Raw genomic sequence first — 21,743 nt, forward strand, 5'->3', positions numbered from 1 at the left:
CAAGGCCTTGGGCCTATGTGTAAAACTGGGTACCTAACAAACACATGGGCAGACGCCTGCAGCTCCTTACTGGGTAGCACATGACACATAGTATGTCCTTGGCAAGGCCATTTGCTCATTCCTCTGTGTAGGTAACCAAGTGCAACAGAAGTGGAGGTATAGCCCATGAATGTGAACTAATCATTTTTAAATGATTTGGTCCATGGGCAGGTTAGAAGATGAAACCTTCCCAAGGCCACCAAAACTTGATTTCTTGCTTGAAAATGATAAGATGCAGTTATAAAATGCTTCTGTTGATTTGGAAAAAATGTGTGACTTGTTCAAAACAATATGTATTAATAGAAAATGTAACATAAATAAGAGGATACAAAAAAGAGCTTAATGTTTCTATCTTCTGGGCCTAGCAATAGTGATTTTTTTTTCCTTTTGGTAGGAAAATGGGGGCTCAGTGGAATAATCAGTTTTATTTCTTTTTCTTTTAACTTCATGAAGGGTTTGTATTGTTCATTTTGTTATTTAATTTGTTCATTTGCTAAGGAAAGAACTTCTTTCTTGGAACTCTGCGGAGTGTTTTTAGATGGACTTTACTGGAAAAAAACAGGAATTGAAATTATATTCACAGTGCGCTCTAAACTCTTTTAAAATCTCATGCATGGATGGAGGAAAATGCACTGAAATATCAATAGTGGTTCTCACCTCATGGAATTAGAGGTGACTTTTATTCTCATCTCCTTCTCTGTGGTTTCCTATTTTTCAACGAGTGTGAATTACTTTTATCATCATGAAAGACCAGTTAAAAATTAATCTCACAAATTAACACTCTCAAGCCAAACCACGAATTTTTGTTTTTCACAACCTGGCTTGGACTATAAACTGTCACACTATCTCAGACCTATGCAGATTCTTTTCTGAGTGAGGCATTGAGGAACTTGTTATAAAGATGATGCTTTCCTTCTGGAAATCAAGAAACAAGCCAAGGGCTTATAATGTGTTAGGAAAGATGTCCTGAGTAACTTTCCTCCTGGAATCTGACTAGCCTTTATTACAGCTACTTAAGGAAATGAGTTTTGTGGGTTCCCTGTTCACTGTGTCACCATTTTTTTCTTTATCCTGTACTCATATGTACCTCAGGGTCCCCAGATTTTCTTATCCTGGGATTGCATGACCTTGTCCTTGGCTCTCTCGGGCCCCTGCCGTTTCCAGTGTTCTCTGTTCATGTTCACAATATTGTTGATTTGGCTGTGGCTTCTTCCCGCAGTGTTCTTGTAGACTGAAGAGAGCACATTGCTGCCCTTGTCCCTGTGCAGCTTCCTCTTCCTCTTTATCATTGCTCAGGTGAGTGGCCTGAGCAGTGCTCCTGGGATGAGGTGAAGAGAAGCAGTCAAGACTGCAGGGAAGGGCTAGGGGTGCTGAGCTGGCCGAGCTTCCCTGGGGGAAGGCACTGGGCCATCTGTCCAGCAGCAGTTGGCCCACAGCTGGCAGGGCAGGCTCAGGAGTGGCTCTTGAAGATGGCTGCTTGGTGTTTGAAGACAGTTCCCAGGGCATGCATTCATTTGTTGAGCACCTTCAATCTGGCAGCCTGTGTTCTAGATGCTGGCTGATGACCAAGGCTGACATGGCTTTGGCTGTCATGGGAGTTTCATTCTAGTGGTAGAGGGAGAGAGAGAGAGACGATGTGGTAGAGGGAGAGAGAGAGAGACGATTAGCAGGGGAATCAATGAAGAAGATAATTACAGGTTGTAAGAACAGCCCCAGAGGAGGTTACAGGTGCCTGTTTGTCGAGAAGTGGGAGGGCCAGAGTTGGGATAGGAACCTATGTCCCTGATTGCAAGGTCTGGCTCCTTCTGTGTCCTCTGGGCTTTCTGGTGGGAAGGGAGGAGGTGGAGGAGACCCCTTGCGAGGGCCGAGCTTCTCCCATTCAGCCAGTCTGGACCAGCCTGGGGCCTTCAGATGGAGATAGCAAAAGTTGAGGGCATAAGCTAGGGACTGGCTCTCTTGGTCACTCCAGTTGCCCATCTCTGTACTTCCCCAGGTGAATAGCCATGTTTTTTAAAGAACACGGAGCAAATTTGCATACAAGAGTCCAGATTTATGCATGCTGCAGCTTTGTCTGAAGGCAAGCTTATATTTTCTCTCCTATTATTTTCAACTTTTAATGAGTTACCAGCATCTCAGTGCCCCTCCAGCAAGGATATTGGGCTGGTGTTTTCAGGGAACAATTTTAATTAACTCCTCCTTGCCTCCCTCTCACCCAGCCACCCCCAGTCCCCTTCCTGGTGGCTCAGAGTCTGGCTTTGGCATGCAATAAGAATATTTTTGCCTTGGTGTTAGCCTTTCTGAAACTCTTGATTACCAGTGCTCACAGGACCTTTCTGCAGCACTGTCTGCTTGGCTGTGGACTACCCAGAGGAGCTTGGTGTCAGGCAAACTTAGGCGATTTCCCTGAGCATCCTTGTTGAGTCTGCCTTTGTACTTCTTTGTCAGGTCTAGAGGCTTGGCCGTTTGTCCTGCTCTTTTGTCCCCTCCTTCTGGGAACCCTCAGGACCCTCACTCCATGGAGACTCAGCACCCTTCCTCCTGCAAACATCAGTGATGGGGCTTTCCCAGCCCTTTCCCCTATCTTCCTTTTCAAAGAACAAAGCCTTTGAAGCTTGTCTCATACCTGTCTGATGCAGTATGGGAATCTGTAAGTTCTTTGCCTCCTGAAGGGGTCTGGGGAATCACTTGGCTTTCAGAGCTTTCCTCGCTCCTCTCCCACCCACAGACCGATTTTAACCAGAGAGTAAGTCATTCATGCTGTGCTTGAATACTCCTTCCAGTCCCACTAGGAAGACTCTTTGTTACTAAATTCTGTTTTCTTGGGAAAGGGGAGCTTATTACTATCTCATTTTGTTGGTTGTTATTACCCTCCTTTAAAAATGTATCTACATACACGCATGTGTGTACCTACATGTTTCTATATTTCCCTTGTGAATGTGGCCCTCAGAGGGCCTGGATTTAAACCCTGGGAGTGGTAGTGACCCTTTGGGAAATGTATACTTTTTGTTCCAAATCTTCTCTGGCTTAAATTTGTGAAGTTTTGTTTCAGCCTTGGTTTCATAGTTTTTCCCAGTTTCCAAGATAAGTTTGGGGCTCACTGTAATCAGCATGTAAAGGAGAATATGGCCATCAGCTCTGCCCCTTAAATTCATAGTCAGACTCAGTGGGGAAGCCGTTCCTGTCCCATCTTGCGCTCGTGGCTCTGTCAGCCTCAGGCAGCTCCTGCACCGTCCTCCTGCCTGTGACAGTGTTGTCAGGAGTTCTTGGTACCTGGGTGCTGCTTGGCCTCAGGGTGCCAGGGCTCCCATGTGGAGTGTGCTTGCTGCAGTCTCTACAGCCCAGGTGTCTCTGCAGCCCTCCTCTTACATAGCCACAGCGTGGTAAAGTACATCCAGTTTGCGCTGTAGTAAGCAATTTTATTAAAAAAATAAGTTTAATATGTAAGTGGTCCCTTAGTTCGTTTGAATGGCTCCCCTCTCTGGCTTTGGTTTGAATGAGCTACACCTGGCTGGAGCCCTGCTGCTCCCCTCAGCATGGAGTCACCTCCCTGTGCTATGGAGGAAAGGAAGAAGTTATTCTTACCTTGGTTTTGAGACAAGACAAGCCTGGAGAAGGCTGTAGGGATGAAGGAGTTGCCCATTTGTCCAGCATCAGTTGAGAGTCTACTGTGTGCCTGGCATCATAGGAAGCCTCTGGAGTGCTGTGAGCAAGAAAATAATACTTGATTTATGTTTTTAAGGGTTCTTCTCGCTGCCTGTGGGCCGGCAGTGAGGAGGACAAGAGCGCAGCAGGGAGATGGGTTAGGAGGCAGTTGCTCCGGTGCAGGGAGCAGTGCCAGCTTGAGGGCTGCTGGTGGGTATTGGTGTGAGGGTGGGCAGGCTGCAGATAGGCCTTCGCCCATTGCCCTTGCCATGTGTCCCCATGTGTCCCCAGGGGAGGCTCTGGGCATCCCAAACTGTGAGCCTGCCCTTTCCCAAGTGTGCTAGGCCCTGCCAAGCTCCTGCTTCATGGCCTATGCTGTTCATTCCATCTGGAATGCTCTCTTCCCCCTGCTTTCCATCCTAGCTGAGTGACATTGGGCAAGTGACCAGATCTCTCTTGAGCCTCAATCTCTTATTCTGTGAAAGAGTGCTCATGGAACCTACTGCATGGGACCATGAGGATAAGACTATAGTTGAGTGTGGTGATTGCAGTAGCCTCCAAAGCTGTCTCCTGCTTCCAATTTCATCCCGCTACTGTGCATTCTTTACACAGCGATCCTGTGACCGAGGGTCAGATCAGGGCAGGCCTCTGCTCAGAATCCTCTCCACAGTAGCTTCCTGTCCCAGTCAGAGGAAAAGCCAAATCTTAGCATGGCCCTCAGAGCTTCCTGGTACTTCTGACCTCATCTCCCACCCCAAGGCCATGGTGTATGGTTGATCATGCTGGGTTCTGCACAGCTCATTGTGGTGCATGTAAGTGGCACTCACTTCCTCCCCAACTTATGCATTGCACAACTTGTGCAGCTGTACATGCTGCTCCTACCTGCGCCTCTCTAGCTCCACTCCAGCCACAGTGGAATCCGTGTTGTTCTTCAAACACACCAGGCATGCTTCCTGTTTAAGCTCTCCCTACTGCCTGCTCCCTTGGCCTGGACCATTCTTCCCCCAGAGGTGTGTATGGCTAGTTAGCTCACCTTCTTCAGGTCTTTTTTCAAATGTCACCCTATTTAAAATTGTTCCATCTGGGTCACTGCCCCCCAAATGTTCCCTTTTTCCCTTGCTCTTTATTTTTCCTCCTAGCACTTATCACCATCTAATATATTATACGTTTTCCTTATTTATTTGGTTTATTTTTATTTATTTATTTATTTCTCAACAGAACATAAGCTTGATGCAGGCAGGCACCAGTGTTAATTTTGTTCACTGCTGTATCCCCAGTGCCTGGATTGGTGCCTGGCAGTAGGGGTTCAGTGATGCATGAGTGAATGAGTTTGGATGCACAAAGGTAAAGTATTGGGTACGGTGCTTAGCACACTGGAAGCACCTAATACATGGATGCCAGTATTTTCATTGTCTCTGTTAACTCTCCAGGCCCTGGCTCAAATGTGGCTTTCTCTGAGCCTTTCTGCAGTCCCTTCTCAGGCTGAATTAAGTCACCACCACCTGTGCTCTGTGTTCCCCTTCATTTTGCCTTCTCTGTCTGCTCGGCATTTATCACACTGCAGTAGTGGGCTTATCTCACACTTTTTCCTGTTCCAATTGCAATTCCTGTGGGGCAAAGACTGGCCTGTTCAGATTTGTATCTCAGGCGGTCTGCGCCCCCAGCTGGCATGTGGTAGGAGCTTAGGAAGTGCTTGCTGCTGGTGGCTGTGGGAGGTGGAAAGAGCTTTTTAATCCATCAGGACCCTTACAAGGGGGACTGGCTCCAGCATCACTGCCGTCTGATGTTTGTGCCCCCTCCCAAGGGGTGTCAAGGGAGAGCTTGGCAACCACTTAAATGAGAGTCTCCAGTGGTATATTTAGAGCAAATTTTGGAGAGAGGAGTCTCTTGGATAACAGCATCTGGGTGACCTGATTGTTTCACATATAAGAGTTTGGCTTTTTGGCTACTCAGGCTTTGAGAGGTTGGGGTCATTCAAGGGAGGCAGTGTAATACCCATGTGTTCAGAGGTGGCTGGGACGAGAGGGTGCAGGAGAAAAGGCTTGAGCTGGCCTGTAAGGGATCTGAGTTGGTGAAGGGAGCACAGCTTCTGGGGGTGGCAGAAGGAATAGGAGAGCTGCCCCTGCCATACCTGGGGAGGGGTGGTTAGGTAGGTGCCTTGGGAGGCATGGTTAGGTAGGTGGTTTGGGGCCATGGGGGGAAAACTGTAATGCCAGGGCAATTACTTTGGCCTCTTGTATTTGGCAGGAGGGGTCCACACTGGGGATTGTGGTGGCGTGAGGGAGAGGGCCCTGGGAGAGAAGCTCTAGAGTCATTTTCTTTTCCAGAGGTGGAGTTGTCTTGGGGACCTGCACGTGGCACGCAGAGCCCATGCTCTCAGGCACCTTTGGGGTGGCAGAGTTTCAACTGAACCAACAGAGGACAAGGGGCTGAGAAGTCGGAGGCCTTGGCTGAGGTGCCCAGTTTCTTGGTTCACTTTCTTTACCTGCCAGGTTAGCAGCAAGTGAGCAAATCCCTCCTGCCTTTGCTCAGCATTAGCCTCAGAGACTTGAGGAGAGCTGGGCCTTCAGGTGGGAGCCTGGTGGCCACACTGGAGAGGACCAAGCTTGACATTGAGTGTCCGAGGGGCTGAAAGTTGTTCGCTCATCCAGAGATGGATTCGTTCTGCAAACATAGGGAAAGTTCCCTTCCCATTCCTCATGGCTGTTTGAGGATGGAATTCCTGCATTGACCTTGGCCTTTCCCTGATCTTGGCCTTTCCCCTGCACTATGGCCTCTCTACTCTTAACATTACGCCCCAGCCCTTTTCCATGGGCCCCTCGTCTTCCCTATGGCCATCTAAAATGGCCGTATAATATTCTATCAAGGGAATGTTTTCAGTAAGCCATGAGCTTGATATGGAGCATTTAGATTGCTTCTAATTTTTGCTCTTTCAGCTAATGCTACATTAAGCCATCTCTGTGTATTATGGAATCATTTCATTAGTTGGCATTTGTCTAGCTAATGGCAATGGCCCAAGATTTAATAGCGAATCAGAATTTCTTTTTTCAAGAAGAATGTCATGAGGATATATAAAAAATTTACTTAAAATGCTAGGAATCATCTATGTTGGGGTTTTCATGAATGAGGAAGCAGGGAAACAGTAACATGAAATTAGTTGTAAGTGAAAGACTGTGTGTATAAAAGTAACTCGTGACTTGTTTGTTCCTGAGTGTGGAGGGGAGCCAATAAATCCTTGGAAGGAGCAATCTACCTGTGAAAATCAAAGAGATCTGTATTCCTGCATCTGATGAAAACATAACAAACAGTGATCTCTTCTTAAGGATATTTTTAGAAATGCCCTAAAACAAGAAAAAGTAAATAAGATTTCCGAGAAAAAACATGTCTCCTTAATTCCAAATGAGCCTCTCTGGAAATGCCATTTAGTAGTGGAAGCAGGTTGTAGACTTGCTGAAAGGATTTGGTTCTTTGGTTATTAGGAAATAACTAGAATGAAATTGACAAACAGACAACACTGACTTGGTCCCCAGTACTGCTTTGAGCCTGAGGTATGTGTTGGCTTTGGAATGATGGGGAAGGCTTCCTCTGACTTGCTGATTTGTTGTAGTTGTTGTTGTTATTGTTTTGAGATGGAGTCTCGTTCTGTCACCAGGCTGGAGTGCAGTGGCGTGATCTTGGCTCACTGCAACTTCTGACTACCTGATTCAAGCGATTCTCCTACCTCTGCCTCCCGAGAGGTGGGATTATAGGCACGTGCCACCACACCCAGTTAATTTTTGTATTTTCAGTAGAAATGGGGTTTCACCATGTTGGCCAGGATGGTCTCAATCTCCTGACCTCATGATCTACCTGCCTCGGCCTCCCAAAGTGTTGGGATTACAGGCATGAGCCACTGCGCCTGGTCTGTTGTTGTTTTTATTGTTTCAGTCTCTGGTGGCTTATTATGTAGACTTGGGCTGTAAGCTTTGCATTTCAGTTTAAACCAGCAAATGTTTACACTATATAAGGTTGCAAGGGCTAAAACTTTAGGGAGAAAGAACCCAGTGCACCCCTGTTTCTGAGAAGCTCATGACCAGGGAGTGGGAAGGATAAAGCAATGTTAAAACCAATGGTTATTCAAGGGAGATTAAGAAGGGGGCCCTGGGAGAGTCAGCTCCATCCTTTTAGAGAAGGGAGGAGTTCTACCTCACTGCTGGGCAGGGTGGGGCTAAGGGGCAGGAGAATCAAGAAAGGTTTTATGGAACTAGTTGCATTTGTCAACATCTTGAAGGACAGGCTGAAATGGAGGCTGGACATTCTCAGCAAAGGTAAAAGGCCTGAGTAGAGGAGATGGAGATGGAAGGACATGGGGCAATGTTTGGGATTTGGCTGAAGAATTGCATGCCTGTAGTAATGGTCATAGTAGCACTTTATGGAGAGTATCAGGTGCCAGGCATGGTTCTAAGAGCTTTATATGTAGTAACTCACTTAATCCATGCAATGAACCAAATGAGGTACTGTTATTATCCCCATTTTACAGATGAGGAAGCTAAGATAAATAGCAAGGAATTAATTGCCCAGGATCACACTGCTGTGGAGCCAAGATCAGACCAAGTTCATCTGGCTCCAGGCTCTGTGCTTACGACCATGAAGCTGTCCTGTCTCTGATTTGGGGAAAGAACAGTCACTAGAATCAGACAGATGGACAGATGCCGTATGTTTAGAGGCTGGGATTATCAACATTCAGGAATGCAGAGGTGGAAAAGAGACCAGAGATGGAGATGAGGGGCATTGGAGAGGTGGGGATGGGAGGAGGGTTTGGTGAGAGCCGTGAAGGGCCACAGGAAGACAGAGCTTTAAGGAGAAGTTTGTCAGTGAGGCCCAGAGCTGCAGACAATCCCAGGAGGTGAGACCTGAGGAATAGGTCTGGGCTGAGGAGAAAGCTGTGAGGGCCTCGGGAGAGGGGCAGCAGGGTGACCCAGGCTGGAGCTGCTGTGGTGTCCTATCCTGGCTGCAGAGTGCTGCGTGTTCCTGGGGGATCATAGCTGTTGATGAGTATCACTGTCCCTGTCCTCTTATCTGTAGAAAGAGGTGAGTGTGACAGAGGGGGCAGGTGAGAGCTGGCACTGCTAATTTGGCAAACCTGGTGACTTTTCTGCAGCCTAATGATTTTTGAAAGCTGTTTGCTATGCTGAGGCACAAGTGTGACTTCCCCCATCTAAATGCTGTGCAATCGCTATTTTCCCTGGAAAATTGGGCCCATGTGGGCTCTGTGTGTGGTTTATTTGAGTTCCATTTTTATAGCCTTATTACCTTGTCCCCATGATGCAAGAGGCCTCTCTCTTTTCTTGAGCTTTGCTGTGAAAATTGTTTCTTAAAAGGCACAAAGTGATCTCTCGTCATCTGGGTGGTGCTCGCTCCACAAGCAGCACTTTTCTCAGACTCCGCACACACTTGTCATCGCCCCTGCCCCCACTTGGCAGGTTCCTCTGATTGTTGGCAATTTACTGAGAACTTTTAGGCAGCTCTTGAAGCTCACTACCTATGTGTTTGTCTTGATTTCTTCCGGAAGAGTTTGTGCATGTAAATATCCATTCAGCCTCTTTCTCTCCGAGATGTTGCCCTGCCACTGACCGTGCTTGGGGCTGAAACCCAGTCTTGTCCTCTGGCCTCGAGCTGATTAACAATAGCAGTCATCATGTACAGAGCCTGAGTGGTTATCAGGCACTAAGCTAAGGGATTTACGTTCGTGATCTTAATTATTCCCAATTTCTTTGAGGTAGGTACTATTACTTCCCCCATTTTACAGATAAAGAAAATGAGCCTTCAAGGGATAGAGTAAGTTACCCCAGGTTACATAGCTAGTACATGGCAGAGCTGGGCTTAAGCGGGCCTTTCTAACCTTAGACTCCATGTGCTCCATTCATTCATTCATTGGCAACAAATGATTGTCTGCAACAGGCTGAGAACTGTTGTAGACCCAGGGTGTACAGCAAAGGGAAAAAAGGCCAAACTCCCACCTTCAGCTTATATTCTAACTTGGGGAGGTAGAGATCATATAATAAATGACATATACATTATGCTATGTGGTAATGAGAACTATGGAGAAAAATGAAGCAAGGAGGTCAGATGGGAAGTGGGAGGATTTTGAGGAGTGGTCAAAGAAGGCCTCATTGAGAGTACAACAAATTGTTAGGTTAACAAACAAACCCCCAAATCTCAGTGTAGCAACACAACAAAACTGCACTTCTCTGCAGAAAAAATTCCAAAGTGGCTGCTCCTGGTTAGCAGGCAGCCTTCCTTGCAGTCATCCAGGGACCTAGACTCCTTTTATCCTGTGTCTCTGCCTTCTTCAAGGGCCTTGGTTTCCTTTGCATTCAAATGCTGGAGCGTGAGGAAGAAGAAGAGAGGGTAGTTTGTGAGGAAGGCTTTATGGACCAGTCTGGAGGAAGCATACCTCCCTCCCACCCACTGGCCAGAATTCAGTCACATGTTCACTCCTGACTGCAAGGGAGGCTGGGAAAGGAAGTCTGGCCATGTGCCGCCTAAAAAAAGGAAGTGGGTTCTGGTGAACTCATGGCATGGTGTGTTGCAGCGAGTGAGGTGAAGAAGTGAGCTATGTGTTTAGCTGGAGGAAGAGCATTTTACACAAAAGGAGCAGCAAGACAAAGGCTGCTGGAATGGAGTGGGGAGGAGAGAAGGAGAGTGGGAGAAGATGAGGGCATGGAGTTGTGGGGGCCAGGCCACTGGGGTCACTGTAAGGATTTGGTTGCCTTGGGAATGACAAGCAGAGCCAGAACATAGAGTTTTGAAGGAGGAACGACAGGATCTGAGGCACGTCTCACAGGGCTCACTCTGGCTGCTGTGTTGAGAGTGGACTGAGGGAGCAAGGGGGATGCAGGGGAGAAGCGGGCGTTTGCGGGTGTTATCCAGGTATGTGACCAGAAGGGCTGGCCCTGAGCCGGGGTGGTAGAGGTGGGGAGAAGCCGTTAGATTTGAGATCAGTTCTGAAGGTGGGCCAGCAACTTTTGCTGTGGGATTGGTAGTGGGGCATGAGAGAAAGAAAGGAGTCAAGATTATTCTGAGGTTTTGGCTTTGCCTAATGAGTATTAGTCTCACTTCCTACCCTCAGAAGCAAGAGGGGAAATTTTTTGGAAAAGGATATCTGAGTGTTCTCTGGGCCCTGACCTGTCCTCCATAACCTCTTTCACTCTGTGATACTTTTTTCAGCACAGATGGGCAATTCCCATTCATGACTAGGCTTTCAGACATGGAGAGGGCACTTGGAGTCCCTCCTGGCACACAGCAGAGGTGAGGCAGCACTGGGAATTGTCTCACTTTGGGGTCTTTGGGTCAAACCTTGGGACCCCTTTAGAGTGACATGGCAGGGACTGAGTGTGCCCTCTAGGGGGGTGAGATATGCCTACTGGAGTCCACTTCCAATGCCTGCCATCTGCAAACACTGGTGAGGCCCTGGCTGAAGGGTAACAACCCACAAAAGTGCACAAAAGGAGGAAGTTCTGGAATGCGAGTTGATGCTGCCAGCGGTCCGGTTGGCTCCTTGCCTTCTGTTCTTTGTGTGTTGACATCAGACCTCTCTACTGCAGACAGGCTGCCCTACCTGAGGGGGCACAGCTGCCAGCAGCCTCAGTTTACAATCCTAGCAAAGGAGGAGAGCCTTTCTCTACATCTAGGTATCAGTTTAAGGGAAAAGCCTCTGTGTTTGAGAGTGGGAGCGGAAACTGTTTCCCACGTACTTCCTTGGCAGTCATGACCTGTCAAGGCTGAAACTGGAGATGGGACTTTTTAATAGACCATGATCTCACTGGGAGCATATGGGGAAGAAAGTTCATCTTAGAGATGGCAGGGCGTGAGCTGTGAAAACAGATAGTGCACACCTACTAGATGCTGGGCCCCCGCTAGGTATTTTATTTCACTGGAGAGCAAAACAATATATCATCCCTGCCCTCATGGCACAGATGGCCTCAAGTGGCTAAACCATAGAATGGCTAGCTGAGAGAAATGATAGTTCTTTCTTTTTTTCTTTACTGATTGCGAATGGGGTTGTATTTTTAATTTTGGTATCCATGTGTTCATTGCTAGTATATAGAAATCCAATTGATTTTTTTGTTTTTATGTTGTATCTTGCATGTTTGCTAAACTCACTAATTAGTCATAGAAATTTTTTTTTGTTTATTCCCCAGGATTTTCTGCATAGACAATTGTATCACTTGCAAATAGGGATTGTTTCATTTCATCTTTTCCAATCTGTATGTTTTTTATTTCTTTTTGTTGCCTGATTGTGTGGCCAGGACTTCTAGTCCTATGTTGAACAAGAGTGCTGGGAGTGCACATCCTTGCCTTGTTCCTAGTCTTGGGGAAAGCATCAGCCTGTCACCATTAAGTGTAAGGTCAGCTGTGGATTTGTTGTAGATGCCACTTGCACTTTGCTGGCATGGTTGTGAGTAGGACTGTGGGTTTTGTGTGTTTGTGTGTGTGTGTGATGTTTGGCTGAAATACAGTGGTTATTATCTACAAGTTTTCTGTCTTGAAACAGGGAGATTTGTTGGGGCATTTTCTCTTTGTGCTCCTTGGCATTTCTGAGTTGCTGGTCTCCTCAGTTCCAAGTCTGAGCTATATGCAGAAAAGGAAATGCAGGAAGCTCACCACTGTGTTGTTCCTTGGATCCTGAGGTCCCAGCTGGTCTGCCTTCTTCAGACTGCCATTTGGAGTCTTCTTATAGTCATCTAGCATAGAATGCCCAGGGGTTTTCATTGTTCTTAGCAGGTGGAATCAGGGAAAGTGCACCTGCTCCATCCTGCTGGGAGTGGAAATGGTTGGGGGAAATTGGAGCGTATAGGTCGGGGCTAGTTTAGATGCAAGGGCTCCGTTCTGTAGGTGCAGGAGGGCCGTGGAGGCTCAGCCCTGACAGCAGTGGGAGGGGGATGGGAAGAGGGGGAGTGGAGAGAGCCTAGGTGGCTGCTGCCTGTGTCCAGGCAGGAGGTCCTGAAGTCCTGAGGTCCTGGCCGTGACAGTAGAACTGCAGCAGAAAGAAGGACAGGAAGTTCCATGAGGACAGTGAGGAAGTGCAAGGAGACCAGGTTGGTCTGAGGTTTCTAGCTAGAGCAGCTAGCTGGTTCTGAGATAACAGAGACAGAGGGAGGGGTCTAAGCGTGGCAGAGGGGTGTATTCTAGGCATTGTAGAGCAGATCTGGAAGACTGGACTTACTGTGCTTCCCCTCAGGGGAGGCTTCACAGAGGAAGTCTGGCTGCTGGGGAAAAATCCAGGGAGTGTGCATTCTGGGCAGAGGAATTCTGGCTGCTGGGTAAAAATCCAGGGAGTGTGCATTCTGGGCAGAGGAAACAACGTGGGAAAAGGCACAGATACAGAAAACGGCGTGATGGGCCTGTTGGGACTCCAGCTAGCTGAGGCATAAGTGGGTAGTTACTGGTTCCATGACTGGGAAGGATGCTGTAGGAGTGCACAAAAGGAAGAAGTTCTGGAATGCGAGTTGATGCTGCCAGCGGTCCAGTTGGCTCCTTGCCTTCTGTTCTTTGTGTGTTGGCATCAGACCTCTCTACTGCAGACAGGCTGCCCTGCCTGAGGGGGCACAGCCACCAGCAGCCTCAGTTTTACAATCCCAGCGAAGGGGGAGAGCCTTTCTCTACATCTAGGTATCAGTTTAAGGGAAAGGCTCTGATTGGCCCAGGTTGGTGATGTGCCTGCCTTTGGACCCGTCACTGTTGCAAGGGAGTGGAGAGTTCTAATCTAGGCCGGATCGTCTGCCCACCCCTGTTGGGGCAACCAGAGTCTTTTAAAGGAGAAGGCAGACAAAATGCATCTGGGGAAGATAAAAAAGACTGTTTACCATGGCTTACTGTAATAGATTTTGAAGAATATGTAGTCTGGCAGTGCAGGAACTCTTCATGGAGATTAAAGCAGGGGACTTGATCAAAGTTAGGTTTTATTAAAATCATTCTGGACACTGTATGGGGTTGTGATTGGAAGTGAATGACAAGAGGTGTCAAGGCGGGTTCGTAGGCCACTGCTTTAGCTCCAAGGAGCACTGATGAGGCCTAAGCTAGCTTAGAATCCTGACTTACTTTGTTTGCACTTCACCTGTAGCGACAGCATCAGTGAGGTGGAGAACAGGGATAGAGTCCTAGAGATGTTAGACAGGCAAGACTTGGTGGCCAGATGGAGGCAAGGAGAAGGGGGTCTTATGGAGGATTCCCCACTGCCACCAAGGGCATAAAGAATGAGTCTCTGGAGGGCTAGCCTTATCTTTGGAAACACTATTAAGTGTTGGCAGACTCGATGTACCTTATTGCTTCTTCAGAAGTGTTAGTGTTGTTGGCTTCTTGTGGTATCCAGCTGGAAAAGGAAGCTGATTGATTGCATTTCCCTCCCTTTAAAGAGCTTCCTTTTTTGAGAAATCAGAAGATAGGTGATACAGTCAGGACTGCCAGTGGAGAAATAGGTTGGGGAGAGGGAGACACTGGCTTGGAGACTCTCCTGCCCCCAGCCTGCCCCGAGGCCCGCGAGTCTGCTTTAGGCACATTCGTCCTTTTGGCATCATCCTTGCTGGGAAGGCTTTTAAGGGATTTAAGGAAAGAAATGACACAATCTGATTCATATTGCACCAGATTTCCTCCTCTGTTCAGAATAGACTATGGGTGGAGGTAGAGTGACTCCAAGAGTAGCAGCAGGGAAGCAGGGCACCAATTAGGAGACTGTCGCAGCAATCTAGGATGGGGACGGTGGAGGTGGTGAGAAATGGTCACATTCTGAATACATTTTGAAGGTAAGAACCAGTTTTAGTGAGGATTAGATGCGGAGTGGGAGAGAAAGGAGATGAAAATGACTCCAAATTTTTGGTCTGGGCAGCTGGAAGAACATTGTCTTAAACTGAGGCGGACACAACGCTGGGAGGAGCACGTCAGGGGTCTGTGTTGGACATGTTTAAGTTTGAGACACCCACCATGTCTTACACAAAGCTCCCATCTACTTCTTACTTGACACAAACAGTTGGATGTACTGGTCAGGAGTTCAGAGCAGGGGTCCAGGCTTGGAGAGAAATCTGAGCATTGTTAGCATGGAGGTGATATGTGTGAATCCAGGAGACTAGTTGAGATCACCAAGGGAGTGACAGAGAAGAGATGAAAACAAGGACTGAACACGCTGACATAAGAGGTGGGGAGATGAGGGAGAATAAGCAAAGATAAGCCAGTGAGGTGGGCGGAAAACCAGGAGAGCTAGAGGGCATGATTAACTGGTGTCAAAGCTGCAAGGTAAGGACTGAGACTTTACCAATGGATGTAGCAAAATGCAAGACAGGCCAAATGCATATGCTGTTGGACCTAAGCTTAACTTTGCAAATAAGTCATAGTTCCTTCCCAGAAGGAGAATATAATTTTGCAAAAAGGGATCATTTAAGATTTATTAAAATAAATCTGAGAAAGATGTGAAGATAGTACCGTAGGAATCCAGCAGAAGGAAACAGTGCTTCTGGCTTTTGTGGGGAGGATTGAGTCAGATTCATTCATACCTTCATTCATTTGTGTGTTCATTCATTTGGCAAAAACTTATTGGGTGCCAGGGGTTGCGGGGAGGAGGGAAGAGAGAGTTGTTATCTAGTGGGTATAGAGTTTCATTTTTGCAGATGAAAAGAGTTCTGGAGATGGCTTGTGGTAATGGTTGAATAAGAATATGAATGTACTTAATACCATTGAACTGTACACTTAAAAATGGTTAAGACTGCAAATTTTATGTGACATGTATTTTCTCACAATTAAAAATGGAGAGAGATTAAATAAAAAACAGAGCACTTTTTGGGGCCCCATCATGAACTTGGTCTGGGATATGATGTTTGAAATGGATGCGCCATCTCAGTAGATGGAGGTAATGTGGAGAAGAGTGGAGGAAGACGTCCAGCTCAGAGGGTTTTGGGAACTATCAGTCCTGTTTGTCTGGATGGTAGGGTCTATCGGGGGAAACCATGCAAGCTGAGACTGCAGCCGGGCCAGTTGGTGCAGGCCCAGCATCCTGGCTGTGGATTTGGGCCTGCCTTCTTAGATTCTGGGAGCCTCTGATGGTTTCTGCCCAGGGGAGTGTCATTCCAAAGGTGTGTATTTAGATTAATTTCATTAGTCCTTCCTGTTAAACCATTGCCTATTAAAAGCAGTGGGGTTGAGGCATTCATTTTTATGGTGAAAATTCTGGCCTAGCAGAATTTTAGATATCCAAGCATGTGTCAATGAAGTGAGTAGGTTATTTTTCCATCCATTTTACAAGTATTTATTGAGGATCATCTAAGTGCCCGTAGTGTTCTAGGCAGTTGGGGGTATGGGACGGGGTGAATTTAACAGGTCTCTTCTCTTAAAAAGCCTACAGTCTAGAGAAACCCCCTCTCCTTCCTAAACAAGAAGTTATGCCACAACGTGCCATGTGTTACCATAGGCATGCCGCCACAGTTCCATGGGTACTGAGAGGAGGGGGTGCCTGGCCTGCCTGGAACACTGGGGAGGCTTACAGGGAAAAACTGTCCAATGGATTTAAAGGACAAGCAGGGATTTTCTAGGCAAAGAAGCAGAATGGGCATCCCAGGAGTATGGTAAATCAAAACTTATTGGGTGCTATGAATTTAAAGCTAAACTTTTATTTCATTGGCTTTTAGGTGGTGCTGGCTAGAGTGTATACGTTTGGACCCAAGCTTAACTTTTCCAATGTGGAATCCTGGGCCTTCATTGGTAAGTTTGTTTGATGCCTTCTTACCAAATTATGCTATCAAGGATTGGTATTTGGAATGAAAGGCAAGGTAGTTATCATTGGCAAGTTCTCTGTGGAGGTTACCAGCCCTGGACCTGGAGAAGCCTGTAGCACAGGCTGAAGGGGTACATAGGAAAAGTGAAATCTCACTGTAGGTTTCTGTGGTAGATGCAGAGAGGGAGGCCAGAGGAGGGGAACCAAGGGGTGCGGGGGATGGATGCAGCGGGCCTTATGGAGAGGTGGAGCTTTGGCTCTGTTTTGAAGGGCAAGCTAGATTGAAAAAAGTCCGGGGAGGAGTGAAAGAAGATTTTCGGGACTTGAGAACATAGAGGTGAGGTGTAAACAAAGTGGGCCTAGCAGCAGTCCCATAGGAGCAAAATCTTCATCGAAAGGAGTCACGGGCAAGAACTGTGGTGGGATCTGCTGGCGTCTGATGATTCTAGTCCATCAGCAAACTTTTTCTGTAGAGGACCAGATGCTAAATATTTTTGGCTTCGTAGGCCATGTGGTCTCTGTCACAGCTACTCCACTCTGCTGTGGTAACATGCAAGCAGCCATAGATAATATGGAAATGAATGGGTGTGGCAGTGTTCCAGTAAAACTTTATTTACAGAAGCAGGTGGTGGGCTGGATTTGGCCTGCGGGATGTAGTTTGCCAACTCCTTTTCTAGACCCTAAATGCCCGGCTAAGGCACATAGACTTTATCCTGAAGGCAGTGGGAAGCCATTGAAGTTATTTTGGATAAAGAAGTGAAGTGGCAGAAGTGATGTTTACATTTTAGGAACATTCATCTGATAGCTGGACAAGAGGCATGGGCCCCTTTTGGAAGGCAGCAGCAGTCATCCAGGCATGAGGTCTTGCGGTGAACAGTAGTGAAAATGGAAGCAAAGGATCAATGGAGGAGATACTGCAAAGGGAGAACCAATAGCGTTTTCAGTCTTCTTAGACTTAAGAGGCAGGAGTCAAAGAGGATGAAAGTTTAAGCTTGCTTGTTTACGGTGGTATCTTTGACAGAAATGTAGATGTTGGGGGTGGAAAGGATAGCTGATGCATCTGGTTTTAGATATGTTGAATTCAAGATAACAGTGGTTCATCCATAAGAAATGTCCAGCAGAGAATTGGAAATGCAGGGCTGAAGCCTGGCCTGAGAAGATTAAGTCTAGAGATGTGGAATGGAAGCCATAGGATTAAACACGGTCTCCCCAAGATGAGCAGTGGGCTGAGCTGTGGGGAATATGCGTAACTGTGGGACGGGAAGACGATGGAAGAGACCCAGAGGCCATGGAGGAGAGTCCCGGGAAGGGAAGAGAATGGGGCAGCAGAGACCAGGGAGAACGGACCTGAAGGGAGGCTGCTGAATTTGTGACAAGGTCTTTGCAGATGGCCTTGAGAAATGTAATGTCACAAGAGGGGAAGGGAAGAGGAAGCCAGGTTACATGGAGTTGGACATAAATGAAGGATAAAGAATTGAGATGTTACAAAAATAGACCGCTCATAGAAGGTTTGGGTAGTAAAAGAAGGGAGACACATAAGATTTAGATACTTGCTTGTCAGAATAACCTTTGCTTTAGCTTTGAGGCAGGCAAAGCATGCTGTGACCAGTTTTCATTTCCTTCTTTGGAGCCAAGCTGTGTTTGGGAGTTTGTGTGTACCTTGGGCTTGTGATTGTGTTCTTATGCTCCCTTTTGAGGTGTGGTGTTCGTAACTCTGCCACAACTTGCACCACGGAATCCAGCCCGTGTTTGGACCCTTGCCATGAGACAAGATGTGATCTGTTGGGGAAGTAGTTGCATTTGTATAAGTTGGAGGAGAAAGTAGAGTGGACCAAAAATTGAAATAAACCTTCTTACTACAGAGTCTATCCAAGTATGGGGACTTGAGGATAATTCCTCCAGTCATGATTTAATTATGTATCAATTTGTGCTCTGAGTATTTTGAGTGTACCTTCTTTGGTTTGAATTCTAAGTAGTTTTTGACTTGGTTTGTGTGAATATAGCAGTTAGAGAGCTGGTAACAAAAGCAACAGTTGTAACTGGTTTAGAGCCATGATTTATTGAACACTCATTATGTACTAAGTCCAGTGCTAAGTGCTATTGTGTATCATCCCATTTCATCTTTGCAATGACCTATGTGGGGGGAATTATTAATAGTATTCTTATTTCAGCCAGAAATAAGTCATAGATGAGTAACTATGCAAGGTTACAAGGGATTTGAACCCGGGTCTGTATAATCCCTGGCTTATGCTGCTTCCTACTTTATCTTGCCTGTGTCTGGAATTTTTCCTCCTACTAATGTAGAAGGACTAGAGATAGATCGAGTCCCTCAGGTTAAATATTCAGAGGCTGTAGTGGGTGTTTCCACTTCTTAGGAGTCTATTGAAAGGGCAGAAGAAGTGTGGGAAGTCTGGAAGAGACTAAGGCCAAACCTCAAACACTTACTTTAACTGTTTCCCCAGATAAAATTTAGTTGAAGGCAGCAGCCTTGGGCTTGGAAAGAAAATAGCGCTAGAAGGCATGAGAGTCAGATTCCAGTCCTAGCATTATGACAATTATAATGTCATTTTTGTTTAAACTCTTGGCATTTCTCTCCAATTACCTCCAGCTTTGAGCTCCAAAGGCAGGCTCCTATTTTGTCTTGTTTTTCACTGTATCCCCAGCATCGTAGCACAGAATCTGGCATGTAGTATGTTATGTACTCACTAATTATTTATTGCTTCGAATGCACCAAGGGACTTGGTACAAGACACTTAGCCTCTCAGGCACTGCTCTTGGCATCATGGTTATAGAGGTGAAACAGGACAAGGTCTCTGCTGTCGTGAAGCAGACGTCTACATGTGTGAGATGTAGAATGTGACGTCAGGTATGATCATGCTCTGAAATAAAAGACAGTGAGACCGGGGTGGAGAGGGAAGGGCCTGTCCAAGAAGTGAGACAGTGAGCTCGTTGGGGGTAAAATCCATAAAATTCCTCTTGGGGTGACTACAGATTGTCAGCTGCGCTGTCAGCACCTTGTTTTAATTGTTTTACTTGGCTGCCATTGCCAATGCCCAGCTGACTGCTCCCTGCAGCGAGAACTCCCACCTCAGGCCTCGCTTTCTTCAGCTCTGCTGAGCGTGCCTCTCCTGGGTCGGCTCCCGGTTCTCCTCCAGCTGCTGAGATTCCAGCCTCCACAGCCTGCTCTGCTGGTTCTCTGTTCTTTGTCCTTAGCTTCTGGTTTGGCTTGGTCCCTTTCACGTCATCCTTAACGTCCTCCCTGGGTGAGCTCATCCACCACTCACCTCTGTCTTGAAGACACCCGGATCTCCATATCCGGTCTGAACCTCCTCCCAGTCCACACTCCTAGTGGTCTGCCCCGAGGGCACCTCAACCTGTCTGTCCCCTCCTGAGTGCCACATGCGTCTTTCTCCCTGTGCTGCCTGCTTGGTCCACGCCCCTCAGTTGCTTCTGCTTCATGAGTCGTCCTGGCCTTGTCTTTTCCCTCATATTCCCTTGGTTACCACATCCTGAAGAGCTCATCTTCTAATTTGTCAACTCAGTTCTTCTCTGTCTCTCCACTCCTGTGTTTAGGATTCATCATTTTGTTCTATGACAGCCTCTTAATTGGTCATCCTGTGTTCATCTTTTTCCTCCCTCATTCCACTGCCCACATTCCTATCAACGTGATCTTTCTAACACATGTCTGATCAGAGCTTTCTTTTGCTTAAAGCTCTCCAAGAGCTCCTCATTGCTTAGAAAATAAAAGCTAACCCCCTTCAGCGGGGCCTGCAGTCTTCTCATCATCTGGCCCTTGGCCCCCTGCAGCTTTTGCTCCCCCACCCCCACCCCACTTTGGGTTTTCCTTTTTCCCTAACTCACATTTCTAACCTCAGCCTAGCTACCAACAGCCATCACCTCCTAGTGCCTTTGCAATGCTGGGCCCTCTCCTGGGAATGGCGTGGTCTCTGTTCACCCTCTTGGGAACTCAACTCCAGTTTCCCCCAAATCTTCAGGACACCATCCTTCCCTACCCAGCACCTCTCCATGACCTGGAAATGACCTTCCTCCTGGCTCCCAGAACACCCTCATGTCTCTCTTGCAAAGCACTTATCGGTGTTACTGTTGATTTACTTACCTGTTATGCTCAGCAACCTGAGCTCCTTAAGGGTGGAGACCACACACACACACACACACACACACACACACACACACACACACTCTGTCTCTCTCTCTCTGTTCCAAGTGCCAGCATAGTTTACCTGGCTCAGGAAGTTTTTGTTGTAAGAGTGAGGAGTGGTCTGTTTGTGCAGCCAAGCAACAGATTCATAATGTGATAAAATGTACCTGAAATGGGAGGTTCATTGGCCATTGGGTTTATTGGGGTGCTCTTCTTGTCAGCTTTGAGTGCAGGACAGGTTGTGTTGGGCTTGAGTTTGTGACGCCTGTTGTGTCTCCCAGCATGCTGAGACCTCAGGAATGTCTCTTCTCTATATTCTTTGCCCCTGACTTTTTATTTTTTTAGCTCTTGTTTTTGATGGACCGATAATAGCAATTCAAAATGAAAAATAATCCATCAAGGAATTCTCAGGAATGAGGTCCACCCACCTTGGTCCTGGATGAATCCCAAATTTCCTAAATAAGCCAGAATATCTATTCTTGCGAACTACTGTCTGACAGCCTTTTTCCCCCTTAATCCAGCTGAGAATGCTTTTCTTGAAGGGTAAGGATACCTAGTGGCCCTTCATGGGGGTGCCTGAGGGCCTCTTTGTCTTCATTTTAAACCTTGTAAAGTCCCCAGTGAATACTGAGGAGTCTAACAAATAGGAAGAAGCTCTGACCCCAGGGGTCCCAAGTCAGCATCTGTACTTTGCATGGGAGCTAGCACAATGCACCTAGCCAATAGCATATAAACTCTCCTGTTTTCATTCAGTGCCTTAAGCTTGTTGCTTGTTGTGTCTTCTTCACTTCCTATCTCTGCCAGAGACCTGAGAAGTTGTGCCAAGAGTGCAGCTTTTATTTGGGGCCTCACAGTAATCTAGGAAAGCTTTTCAGAAGAGAGCCATTCTCAGCACCGAGGTGTCCTGCAGACCAGGACACTCCAGCAGGCTCTTGGAACTGCTTTCCTGGGATGGAAATGCTTGTGATGCTGCCTCCCCTTGTAGGGACTTTCCATATGCTGTTCCCTCAGCCTGGAATGCATTTTTCTCCTGGTTTGCCTAGCTCATGCCTGTTCACCCTTTGGAACTCAGCTGATTGGCCTGCCTCCTCCTCAGAAGCCTCCCCAACCTCCCTGATAAGAAGGCTAGGTCTTGTCCTCACCATTCCCATGCCAGCATCT

General features: G+C 47.1%; 1 protein-coding gene across 46 annotated transcripts in view; it reads left to right on the top strand.

Moving 5' to 3' along the window:
• The window catches only part of BMAL1 (basic helix-loop-helix ARNT like 1), a 110,615-nt gene that overhangs the window by 16,998 nt on the left and 71,874 nt on the right, over positions 1-21,743 (top strand). For all 46 annotated transcript variants that reach the window (NR_147788.2, NR_147790.2, NR_147791.2 and 43 more), the window contains exon 2: positions 16,338-16,410. Coding sequence is in view for 6 of the 46 variants with exons in the window: in XM_017017738.3 (XP_016873227.1) it covers positions 16,338-16,410 (73 nt within the window). In the remaining 40 variants the exon portion in view is untranslated. The remainder of the gene's footprint in view (positions 1-16,337; positions 16,411-21,743) is intronic.

This window comes from Homo sapiens, chromosome 11 (genome assembly GCF_000001405.40).
Source record: "Homo sapiens chromosome 11, GRCh38.p14 Primary Assembly".
In the NCBI taxonomy this organism is placed as follows: Eukaryota; Metazoa; Chordata; class Mammalia; order Primates; family Hominidae; genus Homo; species Homo sapiens.